This window comes from Homo sapiens, chromosome X (assembly GCF_000001405.40).
Source record: "Homo sapiens chromosome X, GRCh38.p14 Primary Assembly".
In the NCBI taxonomy this organism is placed as follows: Eukaryota; Metazoa; Chordata; class Mammalia; order Primates; family Hominidae; genus Homo; species Homo sapiens.
Window position 1 is genome coordinate 115965526 of NC_000023.11, and position 20871 is coordinate 115986396.

Consider the following 20871-nt stretch of genomic DNA (forward strand, 5'->3'; position numbering starts at 1 on the left):
AAACAAAAACAAAGTGGGGAAAGGACACACTTTTCAACAAATGGTGCTGGGATAATTGGCTAGCCACATGTAGAGGAAAGAAACTGGATCCTCATATCTCACCTTACACAAAAATCAACTTAAGATGGATTAAGAACTTGAACCTAAGACCAAAACTATAAAAATTCTAGAAGATAACATTGGAAAATCCCTTCTAGACATTGGCTTAAGCAAGGATTTCATGACCAAGAACCCAAAAGCAAATGTAATAAAAACAAAGATAAATAGCTGGGACCTAATTAAACTAAAGAGCTTTTGCATGGCAAAAGGAACAGTCAGCAGAGTATACACAAAACCCACAGAGTGGGAGAAAATCTTCACAATCTATACATCTGACAAAGGACTAATATCCAGAATCTACAATGAACTCAAATCAGTAAGAAAAAAACAATCCCATTAAAAAGTCGGCTAAGGACATGAATTGATAATTCTTAAAAGATATACAAATGGCCAATAAACATATGAAAAAATGCTCAACATCACTAATGCTCAGGGAAATGCAAATCAAAACCACAATGCAATACCATCTTACTCCTTCAAGAATGGCCATAATAAAAAAATAAAAAAACAGTAGATGTTGACATGGATGCAGTGAACAGGGAACATTTCTACACTGCTGGTGGGAATGTAAACTAGTACAGCCACTACGGAAAACAGTGTGGAGATTTCTTAAAGAACTAAAAGTAGAATTACCATTTGATCCAGCCATCCCACTACTGGGTATCTACCCAGAGGAAAAGAAGTCATTATTCAAAAATGATACTTGCACACACATGTTTATAGCAGCACAGTTCACAATTGCAAATTCGTGGAACCAACCCAAATGCCCATCAATCAACAAGTGGATAAAGAAACTGTGTTATATTTGATGGAATACTATGCAGCCATAAGAAGGAATTAATTAATAGCATTTGCAGTGACCTGGATGAGATTGGAGACTATTATTCCAAATGATGTAACTCAGAAATGGAAAACCAAACATCATGTTTTCACTGATATGAGGACACAAAGGCATAAGAATGATACAGTGGACTTTGGGGACTTGTGCAGAAGAGTGGGAGGGAGGCGAGGAATAAAAGACTACAAATATGGTGCAGTGGTATACTGCTTGGGTGATGGGTGTACCAAAAATCTCACAAATCACCACTAAAGAACTTACTATGTAACCAAATACTACCTGTGACCCCAATAACTTATGGAAAAAATTTCAAAAAATTTCAGTTGCCAATAAATAAACACTTAAAAAAATTGAAATCAATGAAAATGGAGACACAAAATAACCAACCTGCAGGGATACCTCCCAAACACTTTTGATTGAATGTGCCTATCATCCTGGTGGCCAAGAAGAAATCCCTGCACACTCTGCCTAGTGCTGAGCTGCATAAATCAGGAATCCAGGCACACAGAGTCATGGCTCAGAAAGGGCCAAAGACTGCCTGCGTGAGGTTTTCCAGATGCTGATGTGTTATGCAGCTGAACTGCCACAGTTCCTACATCTCCCATGAGCCTAGAAAATGGCAGACTCGAGCTCTTGCAAGGACCCCACTAGACAGCCTGGTGTCTGCCTTCACAGTCAGCGACCACGACCTGGCAGCTCTGGCTCTAGCATTGTGTTCCGTGTGTGTGTGTGTGTGTGTGTGTGCGCGCGCGCGGTGTGTGTGTGTCTGTCTGCCTGTCTCTGGCTCTAGAATTGTGTTCCGTCTGTGTGTCTGGCTCTAGCACTGTGTTTCTACTGTGTGTGTGTGTGTGTGTCTGGCTCTAGCATTGTGTTTCTACTGTGTTTGTGTGTGTGTGGCTCTAGCACGGTGATTCTACTGTGTGTGTGTGTGTGTGTGCGCGCGCGCGCACACACACACACACACATGCCTCACTGAATGCCAAGGGTCCCCTGAGCATCCTTTCCTGTAGAGCCAGGTCTCAGAATGTGTAACAGTGCCTGTTCAATTCCCCTTACCCCAACAGAAATAGACTTTAAGAGTCCACAGAAAAAGACATACAAGGATCTTAAAATATACAAAAATATCTTTTAGCGACTCATAAGAAGGGAAATCAAAACAAAAACTACACTGTTGTATAATTTTTCACATATTATCAATTTCCAACCATGACCTGTCCCCCTCTGAGGAACCTGTACTACCTACTATTTCCTGACCCATCTTGGTTCTGGCTCCTCTCAAGTGTTCTCAAGTAATCACACTATTTTCTTGCTAGAATTTGTCCTACACATGCAGATAGCCAAATGCCATCTCACAAGGAATGTAAAACCACATGTTCTGGTGCAATTGCTTTGTTTTCTTTACCGTTAAAATGGTTATAATCCCACTTAAAACACAGTGCAATTCACTATGCGAAATGACCTCTCATGCAATCAAATCTCCATAGAACTTTGGTCAGTTTTTCTAATTTTGGAAATAAGGCCAAACTTTTGCCTTAGTATCAATAACAAGAAACACAAAGCACAACAAGAGCGAACACACAAACACTCTTAACATCTTCATCTAGAAATAACCAGTATAACTGTGACAATTGTGTCTTCTTTCCTTTTGGACTTTTTTTGTCTACATATAATTTGTTGAGCTTATATTTTGTATTATTACCACTATCTTTTGTAATTTTTGATACTTATTTAAGAAGCTTCATTCTTTCTTTTTCTTAATAATCATGGCCGTTTCAGATCCTCCCATTTCACAGAACTGAAAAAAGATGAAAATGTGAGCGAGCCCCTGAAAATCTGGGGGGGGGGGTCTCTTTCCATGTCTTTAAATGCGTACGTAGAAAGGGAGCTGTATTGCTTTTAGGCCAAAATTTCATCCGAGGAAATGTACCCTCTTTAGGGGTACATTCAAGGGAGCCCAGCACTTGTGAGCACGCACGGCGGCCATGAGGTTTAACCACCACTCAGTCCAAACCCACAGAGCACGCGCACCCTCCTCCAGCCACGTAGGTGGGGAGAACTCGAGTGGGTGAAGGAATCCGTGTGCGCACCCTTCTCCTCCTGTTCGCCCCGCCCTTTGGCCACACAGAAACGCTTCCAGGCCAACCGACGAGGAAGGCTAGAGGGACTCTGCTAGGAGGCTCTCCCTACACTTGCCAGAACTGAAAACGTAGGCAGGGGTTAAAAACTCAGTGCTCCAAAAACGCAAGACCCCGACCCGCCCACATGGCCCCGACTCGGCCCTCGGGGACTCCCAGATAACTGCCTGACGCCCGAGCCGGTGGTGCGGCAGCCACCATTGCGCAAGTTCGAGCGCCCGGCTCTGGCTGCTCACATGATGGAGGATGGGGAAGGTCCTCTGCACCAGAAAGGCCGCCTATGGCACAGAACCCCTGCCCTACTTCCCCCAGCGTCAGGGAAAGGAAAGGCAAAGAAAGGAAAGACGAAGGAAGGAGACCTACCTAGCTGAGGCTGCGCGCCAGCGGGAAAGGTCCGACTACCTCTGATCTGCGTTCTGGGGACGGCTGGACCCCAATGCGCCCCCTGCGGCAACGCGACTCCCGCGTTGCCACAGGGTAGGCTGCCATCCCTCCCTCCATCTTCTGTGTCTCCTGTTCCCCAGAGGGGGTGGAAGCTGAAGGTCAGAGGAAGGGGAGGTGTTGGGAATCCGGGTTGTGTGGTGTCGGCTCCGCCCAGGGGAGGAGTGGGACATCTTAAGCCAGTCGTAGGTGCTTAAAGGGCCGGGAGAGGTGGGCTACGGAAAGTCAGGTGGGAAATCTTTCATCTTGGCCAGTTGCTCGGTAGAATCTATTTCTTTCCCTTAGAATAAGGTACTTGTTGCTAGGGGGCAAACGATGATTGAGTCAGAACAATACAATGGAATATCTATAGTTCAATATTCGCAAAACATTTAGACGTAAAAGAAATTTAAATATGCATATTTTCAACCGATAAGTTTGTATCATTACATTGACTGAGGTTACTAAAAGCCTCAATTGCTCCCTCCCCAGGTGAGAGGTAATGAGTAAGAGAAAAGGTCTGGGAGTATCTGGCCAGCAGGTAGTCTTGGGGTAGGGGCATGGGGCTGAGAGTGTGGGGTCAGTTGGTGGGGAGTGAAATGTGTGGTTCCCAAGACCAGACACTGCCGGTGCCCTATCACTCCCTGATTTTTGTCTGGAACTGTTAGGGGCCCAGTGCTGCTTCTGCGGCCATTCCAGGGGATGCTGCTGTTTGGCGCACACGCTGCCTAGGTGGGTGATGAAATGCTACGTCCGAAAGAGTGACAGCGACTCGAAGGTTTCCCCTGTCTGACCAGTGCCCTGATATCTTCTTTCTTTTGAAAAAAAAAAAAAAAGGAACACTTTTGTCTTGCAAAATAATATTCGCAGAATGAAGACACCTGTAGTGCATAAAGAAAAACGAAGATAACCCGTGATGACACCACTCAGAGGACTGTTAAATTGGGGCGTACATCCTTCTAGCACCTGATTTCTTAAGTTGGAGGGAGAGATGCAAATAAAGATCCTTTTAAAATAATAGTCTGGTGAGCTCCCAAGACCCATGGGAAGCATGCACGCTATTCAGTTGCCAACCTATTGATTGCGAAGATATTTTTGTGGACCCATTTAATTTTCTATTCATAATATAGTATTTGATGGACTTTTACTATTATTTTTTGTTTCACAAACCCAATGTTTTAGGACCTGATGGACTTTTACAAAAATTTTTCTGAAGAAAAATTTTAAGGAATGTTTTCCCTACAAATAAGTGTTTCAAGTGAGAACCAAAGTCACCGCTGCCCAGGTCCACTCCCCAGTACACCCACCTTAAAAGAAACACTTTAAAAAGAAATCCAAGGCCTCTACACCAACCTGAGGAGGGTACAACTGCACTTTTACCGCCTCCAACTCCTTAGAATTTTCTGCCTCCATTTCACTCCCCACCAACTGACCTTCACTCTCTCAGTCCCCCATCCCCACCCCACCCCAAGACCACCTGCTGGCCAGATACTCCCAAACCTCTTCTCTTACTCATTCCCTTGCTGTTTGGGCAGAGGTGGGTGGGAATTACCAGGAGGTAGGGGAAAGAGAATAAATGGGCATAGGTAATACTTTGTTCTGGTCAGACAGATGCCTTCACCGGCTTAGGGGAGAGTTGAGGGAGGGGTTAAGACTCTGCCACAATTCCACGTTGTAGAAAATGGAAAGTGGAAAGAGCTTCCCTCTGGTTCCCAGGTGGAATTAGCCGAGAAAGAATTGGGCTATGAATCTCAGCTGCACCTCTCTGGATGCCTCCCTGTTTTTCTCCTCCTTTATTTAATGTAGGAATGGCCATTGCCTGACACAGAATCAAGTCACAGCCTTTTTTCTGTCTGCATTACCTGAACCGACACAGATTCAATAAACACTCATTGTGCCAGGAAACCAAGGTCCACAGAGGCTAAAGCTTTGCCAAGGTGAACCGGAGTGTCACAGGATGAATCCAAACATGCTAGGCTGCAACTCCTTTGCGCTCTTCATGCAAATGGGCAAGCAGCTCCATAAAGGATGCTCAACATCATTCATTTAGGCAAATACAAAGCAAAATCACGAGGAGATACACTTCACACTTACTAGGATGGGTAGAATAAAAACAAAATTGAAAATAACAAGTGTGATGAAGATGTAGAGAAATTGAAACTGTCATACATTGCCGGTGGGAAAGTAAAACGATGTAGATATTATGGAAAGGAGTTTGGCACTTCCACAAAAAGTTAAACGTATAATTACCACGTGGTCCAGGAATTCCACTCCTAAGTATATATCCAAGATAACTGAAAAGATATTTGAACAAAAGTTATGCATGAATATTTGTGGCAGCATAATTCATAAAACCCAAAGGAGAAACAACCTAAATGCCCATGAACTGGTGAGTGTTTAAACAAATATGCTATATCCATACCATGGCTTATTATTTAGCCATAACATGGAATGAAGCACAGATACATGATACCACATGGATTTAACCTGGAAACTATTATAATACATTAAGAAACCAGACAAAAATGCATATTGCATGATTCCATTTATATAAAATGGCCAGAATAGGCAAATCTATACAGAGACATAGTGGATTAGTAGTTGCCAGGGGCTGGGGAAGGCTGAATAAGAAATGACTGCTAATAGAAATGGAGCTTTCATTTTAGAAAAATTTTCTAAAATTTGTTGTAATGGATACACAATTTTGTGAATGTACTAAAAAGCAATGACTTGTATACTTTTAAATGGTGAATTACATGGTATGTGAATTGTATGTCAATAATAAAATGTAAACCAGCACTTAGATTTAATAAAATTTAGGTACAAGATTTGTGGGAAATTTTATATCATGGGTGAATCAAGGTGAGAATGCTGTAACTCACTGATATGATATTTTCCATCAAATATATGAGAAACATATTATGTGAATGCTGATATCATGCAATCAGAGTACAAAGCATCAACTATGAATGTTCCTGCCAAAAAAATTGTACCTGAATCTAACCACATCCATAGATATTACTACAAGATATTCTGCTTATAAAGGAATAGGTTTTGCATTAGGATGGATACGGTAAAATGTAAAAAATGAATAATTCTACAGGACAAATAATAAACCAGTCTCTCACCAAAGGAATAGCAAAGAAAAGAGGGAGGGTGGTGGTGTTATAGATTTAAGAAGAAATAGGAGACTGGGCATAGTGGCTCATGCCTGTAATCCCAGCACTTTGGGAGGCCAAGGTGTGCAGATCACCTGAGGTCAGGAGTTCGAGATCAGCCTGGCCAACATGGCAAATCCCCATGTCTACTAAAAATACAAAAATTAGCCAGATGTGGTGGTGGGTGTCTGTAATCCCAGCTACTCGGGAGGCTGAGGCAGGAGAATCACTTGAACCCAGGAGGCAGAGGTTGCAGTGAGCAGAGATGCTGAGATCATGCCATTGCATTCCAGGCTGGGCAACAAGAGCAAAACTCTGTCTCAAAAAATAAAGAAAGAAAGAAAAAGAAAGAGAGAGAGAGAGGAAAGGAAAGGAAAGGAAAAGAGGAAATATTTGAATCAATGTTGTGTAGGAGGAGGCAGAGCAAGATAGCAGAATAGAAGGTTCCACCTATTGTCCCCACCCCTTGCAAGGACACCAATTTAACAACTATCTATACAAGAAAAACACTGTCGTAAGAACCAAAAATTAGGTGAGTACTCATAGGACCTGGTTTTAACTTTATATCACTGAAAGAGGCCCTGAAGAGGCAGGAAAAAAAACAGTCTTGAATTGTCACATCACCCCTCCCCCAACCCCTGGCAGTAAGTGTTTCTGTGTGCTGGTGGAGGGAGAGTGCAGCAATTGTGAGTCATTGAACTCAGTGCTGTCCTGTTAGAAAGGAAAAACAGACCAAACACAGCTGATGCTCCCCACCACCCCAACAGAGGGAGTATTTATATTAGCCCTTGCCAGAGGGGAATCTCCAATGCAGGCTAAAATGCCCTGGGGCCCTTGAAAGGCAGTTTAGGCCAAAAGTATTGCAACTTTTATTAGTCCTAGTGCTGAACTCAGACAAGAGACAGTAGTCTAGGGGGACACGTGACCTACTGACACAGCAGCCAGGGAAGTTAAGTGAGTGCTGGCCTCATCCCTCTACTAACCCCAGGCTGCACAGCTCATGGCTCCAACAGAGACCCCTTCCTTACACTTGAGGAGAGGGAAGAGTAGGGAGGACATTGTCTTGCAGCTTGGATAACAGCTCAGCAACAGCAGGATAGGGCACCAGTCAGAGTAATGATGCCCACTTTCCTGGCCCTAGCTCCAGGATGACATTTCCAGACATCTTCTGGGCCAGAAGGGAACCTGCTGCTTTGAAGGTAAGAATCCAGTCCTGGTAGCATTCATCATCTGCTAACTGAAGAGCCACTGGGCACTGAACAACCAGCAGAGATACCTAGGTACTATGTTGAGGGCCTTGGGTGAGGCTCTGAGACTTGCTAGCTTCAGGTACCAGCTTTGCCACTGAAGTATAGAGCACCAAGTGGGCTCTTGGAGTCCCTGATTCCAGAACTTGGTTTTTGGATGGTATTTTTGGATCTGCCCTGGGTCAGAGGGGAGCCCACTGCCCTGAAGGGTGACTCCCAGGCCAGGCAACATTTACCACAAGCTGACTCAAGATCACTTGGTCCTTAAGGGGACATTGGTGGTAGTCTGACAGTACTTCATATAAACCTGTGGTGGCAGTGGCCATGGAGTAAGGCTCTTCTGCCTTTGGAAACGGGTGGAAAGAGTGGGAAGGAACACATCTTGCAGTTTGAGTTCCAGTGCTGCAGCAGCACAACAGAACACCAGGTAGACTTTTAAGGTTTTTGACTCTAGTTCCTGGCTCCCTGCCAGCACTCTGGGCCCTCCTGGGGGCATGGGTAACTCACCACCCTGAAGGAAAAGACATAGGCCTGGCTCGCCTCACCACCTACTGACTGTAAAGCCCCAGGGCCTTGTGTGAACAGAGGCAGCAGCCAGGGAGTGATTACAGCAGGCCTTGGGCAAAACCTAGCATTGTGCTGGCTTCAGGGCTGATCCAGCACAATCATAGTGGTGGCGGTTGCAGGGGTGCTTGTGTCACTCCACCCTCAGCTTCAGGTGGTTCAGAATGGAAAGACACTTTGTTTGTTTGTGAGAAAGTAAGGGAAGAGAACAAGAATCTCTGCCTGGTAACCCAGAGAATTCTGTTAGAACTTTTTCAGAACCATCAAGGTGGTACCTGTATGAGTCTGTGGACCCACAATATTACTGGGCTTGGGATGCCCTGTAAAGCAGACACAGCTTTGATCACAACACCCAAGTCCTTTGGAATATCTGGAAAGCCTTCTCAAGAAGGACAGGTACAAACAAGACCAGACTGTAAAGACAATAAATACCTAACCCTTCTATGCCCAGACACAGACAGACATCTACAAGTATCAAGACAATCCCGGAAAACCTAACCTCACCAAATGAACTAAACCAGACACCAGGGACCAATCCTGGAAAAACAGAGATATGTGACCTTTCAGACAGAGAATTCAAAAGAGCTGTGTTGAGGAAACTCAAAAAAATTCAAGATAACAGAGAAGAAATTTAAAGTTCTATCAGATAAATTTAACAAAGAGATTAAAATAATTACAAAGAATAAAGCAGAAATTCTGGAGCTGAAAAATGCAATTGACATACTAAAGAATGCATCAGAGTTTTTTTTTTTTTTTTTTTTTTTTACAGCAGAATTGATCAAGCAGAAGAAAGTATTAGTGAGCTTGAAGACAGGCTACTTAAAAATAGACAGTCAGAGGAGACAAAAGAAAAAAATAAACAAAATAAAGCATGCCTACAGGATCTAGAAAATAGCCTCAAAATGCAAATCTAAGAGTTATTGGCTTTAAGGAGGAGGTAGAAATTAATAGGGGTAGAAAGTTTGTATAAAGGGATAATAACAGAGAACTTCCCAAGCCTATAGAAAGATATCAACATTCAAGTACAAGAAAGTTATAGAACACCAACCAGATTTAATTCAAAGATCACCTCAAAGCATTTAATATTCTGGCTCCTGAAATTCAAGGATAAAGAAAGGATCCTAAAACAGCAAGAGAAAAAGAACAAATAACATACAATGGAGGTCCAATATGTCCAAGACATAGTCAGTACAATAAAATAGAAAACAAAAAGTGAAAAAGCAGGGGGATGGACATAAGGTGTAGAATTTCTATTAGTTTTCTTTTTGTTTGTTTCTTTATGCAAACAGTGTTAAGTTGTTATAAGCTTAAAATGGGTTATAAGATAGTATTTGCAAACCTCATAGTAACCTCAAATCAAAAAACATATAATGGATACACAAAAATAAAAAGCAAGAAACTAAACTATATCTCCAGAGAAAATCACCTTCACTAAAGGAAGACAGAAATGAAAGAAAGAAGACCACAAAACAACCAGAAAACAAATAACAAAATGTAATTACCTGCATTTCCATCAATAAAGGAATGTTAAAATATTTTTTAAAAGTCGTGTGTAATACTTCTTTTGATCCTAAGAAGAACAAGTACAATTTAAGAGCCATATTTTGGTCAATCAGGGAAATTGAACATGGATATTTTTGTGTGCCCTTAGAGAATAATTCTAATTTCTGTTAGAGGCAAGGATGACATTTTGGTTATTTTTTCCTAAAATCCTATTGGTTAGAGTGTATATTATTGTAAACTGCATGGATTGAATATCTTGTTAGGATTCATACATGAAGTCATATGATAGTTGAAATATACTTTGAGATATTTCAGTAGAAGTGAAAATAAAACATAATTTGTAAATGTTGATTATTGTTAAACTGGTTGCTGAGTACATGGAATTTTTTCCACATTGTTCTATCACCTTTGTTTCAAAATGTTCGCGATAAAGAGTAAACAAGAACAACCAAATCAGAATTTGAGTGTATTAAGAAATATGAGTAAAAATACCAAAAATAAGAGTTGATTATGGTCACATTTACAGAGCTATAATTGCTTGAGTTTCAAGGCAGAATTGGAAAACATGATTTTTGTTTTAAGTATTGTCAAAATATTCAACAGCTTAATGGAGGTACAAAGTATCAATTTTTAATGGGCCTTTATATCAGAATGTAATATGTGGAAGGAAATTCTGAAAGAAGTTCACTATATTGATGACAAGGTCACCTCTGGGAATGACACAAAGATTAGAATTGTTGAACTTTCATTAATTCCTTCAGCAAACATTTGTTGAACACCTAGTGTATGGTGATCATATTCTTAATGCTGCAACTACAGCCATGAAATAAACACAAAAAACGATCCTATTCACATAGAGCTCACATTCTAGTAGAGGAGACTGATAAAACAGGATCAATAAGTTATGTATGTATCATAATAGTCATATGCGCTACACAGCAAACTGAGCAGGGAAGGGAACACTGTGGGATGGGTGTGGGATTTTCATCTCTGGGTAGATTGTGCAGCTAAGGCCTCGCTAAGAAGGAGACATGGGAGAAAAGATCTGAAGGAGGAGATGAGAGAGCTCCATGGATATCTGGGGATGGGGGTTGCAATGAGAGAGAGTATCCTGATCTTCCCATGGATTTTTCCCTGTCAATGTATTCATCACTGACAAACAGTAATGTTTCCCCAATTTTGATGCAAGACGTGCTTCGTTGTTGTTTGGCAATGTGAATTGGTCAGCATTAAGGCCACAGTTACCTTCATGGTTCACACAATTAGTACATGGTTTCAGATCTTTGATGCTTTGAACGAATTCAGGGTGTAGCCACACATAGTAACTGTGCATGCTTCTATAAAATAGATCTTTTGGGAATATGTATAAACAGGTCCTTGCAATAATCTCAAATGGTTCAGGCCAGTTTTGCAAGGCGTTTATAGCTACTTGAGTAGCAGTGCTGTATGAATTTCAAACCTCTACTTCACACCCAATGTCAGGATACTCAGCCATCACTGGAATAAAAAAAGCTACAAGTGGGAGAACACTTCTGTATCCCAAGATGTAAAGCTAACAAGATATTTATTAATATTTCATTAAATTCAGAGACAATAGCTTAAGCAAGCAGAAAAGGTGGATCAGTATTGTTGACCACAAGCCTGAATTCCAGCACATCACTTTGTGAAGTCACTAATTGACCACAGTTGATTACATCAAAATTTGTTTTTCCCTATGAAGTCCAGACCATCTTCAGCCTTAGGCTTATTTCTCCTAAGATTGTATAATGGCTTGAAGGTTTTTAAAATTGTTGTTCTTGCTGTATTTTTAAACAGTTAAAGAGACTGGGTTTTCTTTTTTTATGCTGAATTCTTAGGAAAATTGGTTTTTATCTGGCTAAGGAACTCAACAACACTTTCTTTTCTTCTCAGGTTACAGTATTGTAAGAAAATATAAGAGTGTGATTTACAGTTGGTGTGGCCCTGTGGTGGTGTGGACCCAGACTTCAAGCACAGATGAAGATCATACACTGATTTACCACATCAGATAGGTATGTAACTCAATTATCAATTGTACTTTGATTGTGTTTTACCCCATTCTGTACAATAGGCTCCTTTCTAAAGGTAAGTATCTCACTGAACTTCCTCTCTTAATATCTGGTTAGGCACTGTGTCCATGTATAGCCCATGGCTAGAGTTAATTATGATGATCATGAGCATTTCCCTTGTGTGATTGAAAATAACCTATTTGGTAAATTCCAATATTGCTGAACTCAGTTTAGACTCAAAGCCCCAGAAAAGGTCACTATTTAACTAGAGCAGAATGCCTTGGTATTTAGAAGCATGACTTTCTATAATGTTTTCACTGGTATCATGGAGATTTGGTAGGAACTGTGTTCCTTAGGCTTTGACTTGCATCATAGCTACATTCTCAGTGCTCAACATTGAGCAAAGATAGGCAGGGTTATTTCAGTAACCTGGGACCTTGCAAGGCTCTCAGAATAGCCTGATACTTCTATAAACCTTAGAGCTGGGAAAGAATTTGAGGTGACCCTGTTTGTCCCCTTGGATTGCTGAGAAAAGGACCCTCTAGCATCTTACAATGGAATCTCTGAAGGCTCTGTGAGCCTTCCCATGTGAAGTGTACTCCGCCACGTGGCCTTGTAGTTAAGCAGTTTACTTTACTGAAACCACTGTTGGAAAGGATTTGGCATGGACTTATTTGTGGTGCCTTTTAAGGAAGAAAACTACCACTATCAAATACCAGCTGCATAACATTCTTTCCTCCATAACACAGGGCAGATTCACAGTGACATTCATAGGTGAATATTATTTATGATGTATTATTCTTTTGTGATTTTAGTAATACACACTGTAGTTGATTTAAAATGTTATAAAAAAGTTTGATCAGGGAGTCATAAGGGACTGCTTCCAATCTTTCTATTGGCTTCTAATCTCTTATGGATCACATAGCACACACAGTCTCCCAGTGACCTGAGCTGGCTAGTTCAGGGTTCAACAGACACTGGCTTTGTGTGCTGTGCCCTTATGATTATGTTCTGTTAACCAAAAGCATTGGGGCAGAGAAAGATAATGAGACCAGGTAAAAGAGGATAGTCAGCATCACAAAGCCATTATGACTCATTAACTTGTCATCTCTGATTTTGACCAGATCATTTTACTGCTCCAGATTTGAATTTCCTCAACTAAAATAGGGTCAAATAAATGAATGGTTCTTAAAATATTATGATTAAGGACCTTTTGGGGAAGCTGGTGAATGATGTGGAAATTTTATTTTATTTATTTTTTATTTTTTTTTGAGGCAAAGTCTTGCTCTGTCACCCAGCTGGAGTGCAATGGTGCGTTCTCAGCTCACTGCAACCTCCGCCTCCCGGTTTCAAGTGATTCTCCTGCCTCAGCCTCCTGAGTAGCTGTGATTACAGGCACACACCACCACGCCTGGCTAATTTTTGTATTTTTAGTAGACACAGGATTTCACCATGTTGGCCAGGCTGGTCTCAAACTCCTGACCTCAGGTGATCCACCCACCTCGGCCTCTCGAAGTGCTGGGATTACAGGCGTAAGCCACCATGCCCAGCCTGGAAATTTTATTTTTAAAAATACATGCACATACAAAAAAAAATTCAGGAACTTCAAGGAAGTCTATGGCGTCCTCTCTAGAGAGCACCCAGACTTGAAGAGCTCAGTGTCTCTTCCAGTTTCACACATCTTTGATTCCAGTGTCTTTCATCATTCAAATTATATCAGATCTTCCAAATACTCTCCAATGTTTTTCCTTTAAATTTGCCGGGGCCTGTTGTGGGGTGGGGGGAAGGGGGAGGGATAGCATTAGGAGATATACCTAATGCTAAATGATGAGTTAATGGGTGCAGCCCACCAACATGGCACATGTATACATATGTAACAAACCTGCACGTTGTGCACATGTACCCTAAAACTTAAAGTATAATAAAAAGAAATTTGAATTAAAACAATGACCAATCATAGTCAGCAGTCAGCAAGATCTTGCTACTCTGCCCTCATCACTTACCACTTTTCTCCTTAGTTGCTTTGTCTTAGTCACACAGGTTTTCCTTTTTTTAAGCTGTGGTAGTACAGGTATAATTGACAGATGATAATCTGCCCTTAAAGTGTATGATTTGATAAATATTGCCATATGTGACAGTTGTGAAAGTATCAGCACAATGAAGAGGGCAGACATATTCATCACAATCTAAAGTTCCAAATCCCTCTGTATACACAATAATGAGACCTACATTGTTGCTCCAAAGAGGACTTTTTAGTTATTTATATTGTATTTAGGAATAATTTAGTATTCAGTCAGTTACATATGTGTTTTAAAAGCATGCACCTGGAGTGTTTGAATGTTCCTGAGAAATTCCTTTACTATGTATTTGTACTTCCCACTCCAGATCCAATGTTACTTAAATAAAATATTTTACTAGAAATCCAATAATCTTATTATATATTATTTTCTTGCAGCTTTTGGTTTTAGAGTAATTTTGAGTTATAATTATTTTCAAAATGGGGTCTTTGGCACACCTCAACCCATAATAAGCCATGAAAGAAAATTTAAAAATTATATAACCATGAAAGTTGAAAATATTTCAAATCCTTTTAAAACTCATGGGAATGTGGTCAAATATATTAATGTATACTTGGTTATGGGTCTTAATAAGCCCAGCATTGAAAACAGTAAGTTAGCTAAGGAAAGAATATGTGGTAGCTGATGTTTTATGTATGGTGTAAGTCAGTTTCTCTTAAAGCAATTGATAAAAGATTTTAATATGAAAAATGGTAAATTACATGCTCTGTATTTAAAAAAAAATTTTTTGATGGAGTCTCGGTCTGTAGCCCAGGCTGGAGTGCAGTGGTGCAATCTCAGCTCACTGCAACCTCCGCTTCCCAGGTTCAAGCAATTCTCCTGCCTCAGCCTCCCGAGTAGCTGAGATTACAGGTGTTTGCCACCACGACCAGCTAATTTTTGTATTTTTAGTAGAGACGGGATTTCACCATATTGGCCAGGCTGGTCTCAAACTCCTGAGCTAGTGATCTACCCACCTCAGCCTCCCAAAGTGCTATGATTACAGGCGTGAGTCACCACACCCAGCCTATATATATATATATAAATTTGTTTACCACAATAAAAGTAATAATCTGCATAGAATTAGAGGCTGGAAGCCACCTTATGCCTGAGGGATCTGATAATTTCTAATCACTTGTGTTCAATCTTAATAGATTTTTGGGGAACTAGGCAAAAGTTGAAAAAGTTAAAAAAAAGCAGTAGAAAATTCCAAAAATGTAAGATTATTGAGTATTTGATATAGTTGTTTTATTTATTTGTGTCATACATCCTTTCCCTTCTCTTTTGCAAGACCTTGTAGATATTGTTTTAACTACAGATCACTTTATATTTCTAGACCTAAAACATAATCACCACATATTGATTTGCTTGTCCTGATAAAGTCAGCATATGGTAATCTAACATTTCTTTTTGCATCACCTTTAATAGATATGAAAGAAAACCACTTGCCTTATTATATTAAAGTGGGAAATGACATGAAATAATATTAGGTTGCTGAAAGTTATCTTTAGAAACAATCAACCTAAATAAATCTCCATTGCATTCCTTCAACTTTCACTTCTTCATTATAGATAGTTCCTTTGTAGAACCATGGGATAGTTACCTAGTTCTATCTGCTATAGTCTTTAAGTCAATCTTGTTGATAGGAACAAATAACAAATAATAATCCCCACCTTCTTTGCTTAGAGTGAGCCCAATTAGCTTCTTGGAATTTTCTACTTTATAATTTTAATATGATACTACTACTACATAGAGGTTTGGTGAAATTTGAGGATGCCTTTTTCATGTTAATAATTTACATAAATGACTTTGAGCTAATGACAGCTTTACAAATATTTTAATGTTATATGTATATACACTATCTTATTTTATGAAAGCATACTTGTAATTATATTAGGCTCTATCCAAAGTTTTCTTTATTTTTCTTCCAGGCTGTATGAAACGTTAGGATAGTATTTCTCTCCTGCTGGTGGAAGAAAGAAGAATTGAAGAACAAGGCAAAAACTCTGATAGGAAACTAAAGTGCTTATATGTTACTGTCTTATCAATATTGACTTTTATTGGAGATTAGATTACTTTCCAGAAGTTTTATAAAATCACACAAGTTACTTTGGGACTTCTGAAGAAATGTCTTAGGTCTTTCTGCTTCTAGAATAGATTATAAGAGCTTGAACAGAAAATTTGCAAATTTGCAGTCAGTTTTATTGGTGGGAAAACTGTGCTTTTTAATAGACCTTTATGTGTTTAATGTTCTTAAGTAGCATATCCAAAACTTTCTTTCAGGATATTAGAATCCACTTAATTTGGGGCTAGCAATTTCACCAGAGACACAGGACTGAAGCAAATTGTGATTATTTATTTGCCAAAGATTTCTGTAAGATGGATTTTGGGAAAAGCAGCCCTAAAATTAATGAACACATTTCAGTATTTAATGCTTTTTCTCATCACCAACACTTAGAATGAAAGCATGTCTTCTCTTGTTTCTGGTCATTTAAAGAGGCATATGAAGTAGTAAAAACAGGTCATAGAATGATAGACACTCATTATGAGATCTGATCTCAGCCTTGCTGCTAATTGACTGTGGACTTAAGTCAGTCACTTACAACCCCTTGCGTATCATAGATTATTCATCATTATAAGGGGAGATAAGAGTACAGGACTTCTAAGAAGGCCTTTTCCAGTTCATATACTTCAGACATGTAATTCTGATTCTATGTGTGGTTATAGATTGTTTAGCTAATTTTAAAATACAAGCAAAAGGATTGTGTGCCTATTTGTAGATGTACAAAGGAATCATTTATGGAAGGAAATTGTGGACAGTGTGCTAGTGTAGGTGCCAAGCTCTAAAAGTATATGAGGAGAAGCTAACTTTGGGAGGGGCACTTGGAGTGTGGATTCAGAGAAATCTTAACATGGATAGTAGTGAAGTCAAACAAGCTCACATTGGAGGACTTTCATCTTCTCAGTGAACTGGGAAACAAGGTCATTGACTGACTATAAAGGCTCTGGGGTAGGTTTGGAATTTACAGAGAGTAGAAAATACTTATATCAGCTATAGTGACACATTTTCTAGGGATTCATATATAAATAAAGAGAACAAGTAGGTGTGGCTGGCAAGATGACCAAATAGGAACAGCTCCAATCTGCAGCTCCCAGCAAGATCAACACAGAAGGTGGGTGATTTCTACATTTCCAACTAACATATACGGCTCATCTCATTGGTACTAGTTAGACATTGGGTGCAGCCCATGGAGAGCGAGCCAAAGAAGGGTGGGGTGTTGCCTAACCTAGGGAGCTCAAGGGGTTGGGGAACTCATTCCCCTAGCCAAAGGAAGCCTTGAGGGACTTTGCTGTGTGGAACGGTGCACTCCAGCCCAGATATTACACTTTTCCCATGGTCTTTGCAACCCACAAACCACAAGATTTCCTCAGGTGCCTAACCACCAGGGCCCTGGATTTCAAGCACAAAACTGGGCAGCCATTTGGGCAGACATCGAGCTAGCTGCAGGAGTTTTTTTTTTTTTTAATACCCCAATGTCACCTGGAAAACCAGCGAGACAGAACTGTTCACTCCCCTGAAAAGGGGGCTGAAGCCAGGGAGCCAAGTGGCCTAGCTCAGTAGATCCCACCCCCACAGAACCCAGCAAGCTAAGATGTACTGGCTTGAAATTCTCGCTGCCAGCAAAGCAGTCTGAAGTTGACCTAAGATGCTCAAGCTTGGTGGGGGGAGGGGCATCCAACATTACTGAGGCTTGAGTAGGGTGTTTTCCCTTCACAGTGTAAACAAAGCCCCTGGAATGTTTGAACTGGGTGGAGCCCACAGCAGCTCAGCAAAGCTGCCTTAGCCAGTCTACCTCTCTAGATTCCTCCTCTCTGGGCAGGGCATCTCTGAAAGAAAGGCAGCAGCCCCAGTCAGGGGCTTATAGATAAAACTCCCATCTCCCTGGGACAGAGCATCTAGGGGAAGGGGCAGCTCTGGGCACAGCTTCAGCAGACTTATAATTCCCTGCCTGCTGGCTCTGAAGAGAGCAGCAGATATCCCAGCACATTGCTTGAGCTCTGCTAAGGGACAGACTGCCTCCTCAAGTGGGTCCCCGACCCCCATGCCTCCTGATTGGGAGACACCTCCCAGCAGGGGTTGAGAGACACCTCATGCAGGAGAGCTCTGGCTGGTATCTGGTGGGTACCCCTCTGGGATGAAGCTTCCAGAGGAAGGAACAGGCAGCAATCTTTGCTGATCTGCAGCCTCCCCTGGTGATACCCAGGCAAACAGGGTCTGGAGTGGGCCTCCAGCAAACTCCAGCAGACCTACAGCAGAGGGGCCTGACTATTGGAAGGAAAACTAACAAACAGAAGGCAATAGCATCAGCATCAACAAAAAGGACATACACACGGAAGCCCCATCTGAAGGTCACCAATATCAAAGACTGAAGATAGATAAATCCATGAAGATGAGGAAAAACCAGTGCAAAAAGGCTTAAAATTTCAAAAACCAGAAAGCCTCTTCTCATCCAAAAGATCACAACTCCTCTCCAGCAAGAGAACAAAACTGGATGGAGAATAAGTTTGATGAATTGACAGAAGTAGGCTTCAGAAGGTGGGTAATAACAAACTCCTTTGAGCTAAAAGAGCATGTTCTAACCCAATGCAAGGAAGCTAGGAACCTTGAAAAAAGATTTCAGGAATTGCTAACTAGAATAATCAGTTTAGAGAAGAACACAAATGACCTGACGGAGGTGAAAAACACAGCACAAGAACTTCGTGAAGCATACCCGAGTATTAATAGCCAAATCGATCTAGTGGAAGACAGAATATCAGAGATTGAAGATAAACTTAATGAAATAAAGCGTGAAGACAAGATTAGAGAAAAAAGAATGAAAAGGAATGAACAAAGCCTCCAAGAAATATGGGACTATGTGAAAAGACCAAACCTACATTTGATGGGTGTACTGGAAAGTGATAGGGAGAATGGAACCAAGTTGGAAAACACTCTTCAGGATATTATCCAGAACTTCCCCAGCCTAGCAAGACAGGCCAACATTCAAATTCAGGAAGTACAGAGAACACCACAAAGATACTCCTCGAGAAGAGCAACCTCAAGACACATAATCGTCAGATTATCATTTCACCAAGGTTGAAATGCAGGAAAAGGAAAAAATGTTAAGGGCAGCCAGAGAGAAAGGTCAGCTTACCCACAAAGGGAAGCCCATCAGACTAACAGTGGATCTCTTGGCAGAAACTCTACAAGCCAGAAGAGAGTGGGGACCAATATTCAACATTCTTAAAGAAAAGAATTTTCAACCCAGAATTTCATATCCAGCCAAACTAAGCTTTATAAGTGAAGGAAAAATAAATTCTTTTACAGACAAGCAAATGCTGAGAGATTTTGACACCACCAGGCCTGTTTTACAAGAGCTCCTGAAGGAAGCAGTAAACATGGAAAGGAAAAACCAGTAGCAGCCACTGCAAAAACATACCAAATTGTAAAGACCATTGACACTATAAGAAACTGCATCAACTAACGGTCAAAACAACCAGCTAGGATCATAATGACAGGATCAAAATTCACACATAACAATATTAACCTTAAATGTCAATGGGCTAAGTGCCCCAATTAAAAGACACAAACTGGCAAATTGGATAAAGAGTCAAGACCCACTGGTGTGCTGTATTCAGGAGACCCATCTCATGTGTAAAGACACACATGGGCTCAAAATAAAAGGATGGAGGAATATTCACCAAAGAAATGGAAAACAAAACAAAAAAAAATTAGGGGTTGCAATCCTAGTCTTTGATATAACAGACTTTAAACCAACAAAGATCAAAAAAAGACAAAGAAGGGCATTACATAATGGCACAGGGATCAATGAAACAAGAAGAGTTAACTATCCTAAATATATATGCACCCAGTACAGGAGCACCCAGATTCATAAAGCAAGTTCTTAGAGACCTACAATGAGACTTAGACTCCCACACAATAATAGTGGCAGACATTAACACCTCACTGTCAATATTAGACAGATCAACGACACAGAAAATTAACAAGGATATTCAGGACTTGAACTCAGCTCTGGACCAAGTGGACCTAATCGACATCTACAGAACTCTCCACCCCAAATCAACAGAATATACATTCTTCTTACACCACATCACACTTATTCTAAAATTGACCACGTAATTGGAAGTAAAACACTCCTCAGCAAATGCAAAGGAACAGAAATCATAACAAACAGTTTCTCAGACCACAGTACAATCAAATTAGAATTCAGGATTAAGGAACTCACTCAAAACTGCATAACCACATGGAAACTGAATGATTACTGGTAATAACGAATTAAGGCAGAAATAAATAAGTTCTTAGAAACCAATGAGAATAAAGACACAACATACCAGAATCTCTGGGACACAGCTAAAGCATTATTTAGAGGGAAATTTATAGCACTAAATGCCCACAGGAGAAAGTGGGAAAGATCTAAAATCAACACCCTAACATCACAGTTAAAAGAACTAGAGAAGCAAGAGCAAATAAATTCAAAAGCTAGTAGAAGACAAGAAATAACTAAGATCAGAGCAGAACTGAAAGAGATAAAAACACGAAAAACACTTCAAAAAAATCAATGAATCCAGGAGCTGCTTTTTTTTGAAAAGATTAACAAAATAGATAGACTACTAACCAGACTAACAACAACAAAAAAAAGGCAGAAGAATAAAATAGGCACAATAAAAAATGATAAAGGAGATATCACCACTGATCCCAAGGAAATACAAACTACCTTCAGAGAATACTATAAACACCTCTATGCAAATAAACTAGAAAATCTAG

The 20871-nt window shown here is 40.5% G+C and overlaps 1 long non-coding RNA gene across 2 annotated transcripts in view, besides 3 other annotated features; it reads right to left on the minus strand.

Moving 5' to 3' along the window:
- DANT2 (DXZ4 associated non-coding transcript 2, distal) overlaps nucleotides 1-3586 on the minus strand; it is a 128716-nt gene extending 125130 nt beyond the window's left edge. For both annotated transcript variants that reach the window (NR_132337.1, NR_130730.1), the window contains exon 1: nucleotides 3436-3586. This is a non-coding gene — a long non-coding RNA (DXZ4 associated non-coding transcript 2, distal). The remainder of the gene's footprint in view (nucleotides 1-3435) is intronic.
- Nucleotides 1098-1675: an enhancer, noted in NCBI's record as "H3K27ac-H3K4me1 hESC enhancer chrX:115082956-115083533 (GRCh37/hg19 assembly coordinates)". NCBI's record gives its function as "activates a minimal SCP1, AML or CMV promoter by ChIP-STARR-seq in naive H9 embryonic stem cells {active_cell/tissue: H9 hESC(naive)}" and the evidence as "EXISTENCE:reporter gene assay evidence [ECO:0000049][PMID:30033119]".
- Nucleotides 1676-2252: an enhancer, noted in NCBI's record as "H3K27ac-H3K4me1 hESC enhancer chrX:115083534-115084110 (GRCh37/hg19 assembly coordinates)". NCBI's record gives its function as "activates a minimal SCP1, AML or CMV promoter by ChIP-STARR-seq in naive H9 embryonic stem cells {active_cell/tissue: H9 hESC(naive)}" and the evidence as "EXISTENCE:reporter gene assay evidence [ECO:0000049][PMID:30033119]".
- Nucleotides 17837-18713: an enhancer, noted in NCBI's record as "NANOG-H3K27ac hESC enhancer chrX:115099695-115100571 (GRCh37/hg19 assembly coordinates)". NCBI's record gives its function as "activates a minimal SCP1, AML or CMV promoter by ChIP-STARR-seq in primed H9 embryonic stem cells {active_cell/tissue: H9 hESC(primed)}" and the evidence as "EXISTENCE:reporter gene assay evidence [ECO:0000049][PMID:30033119]".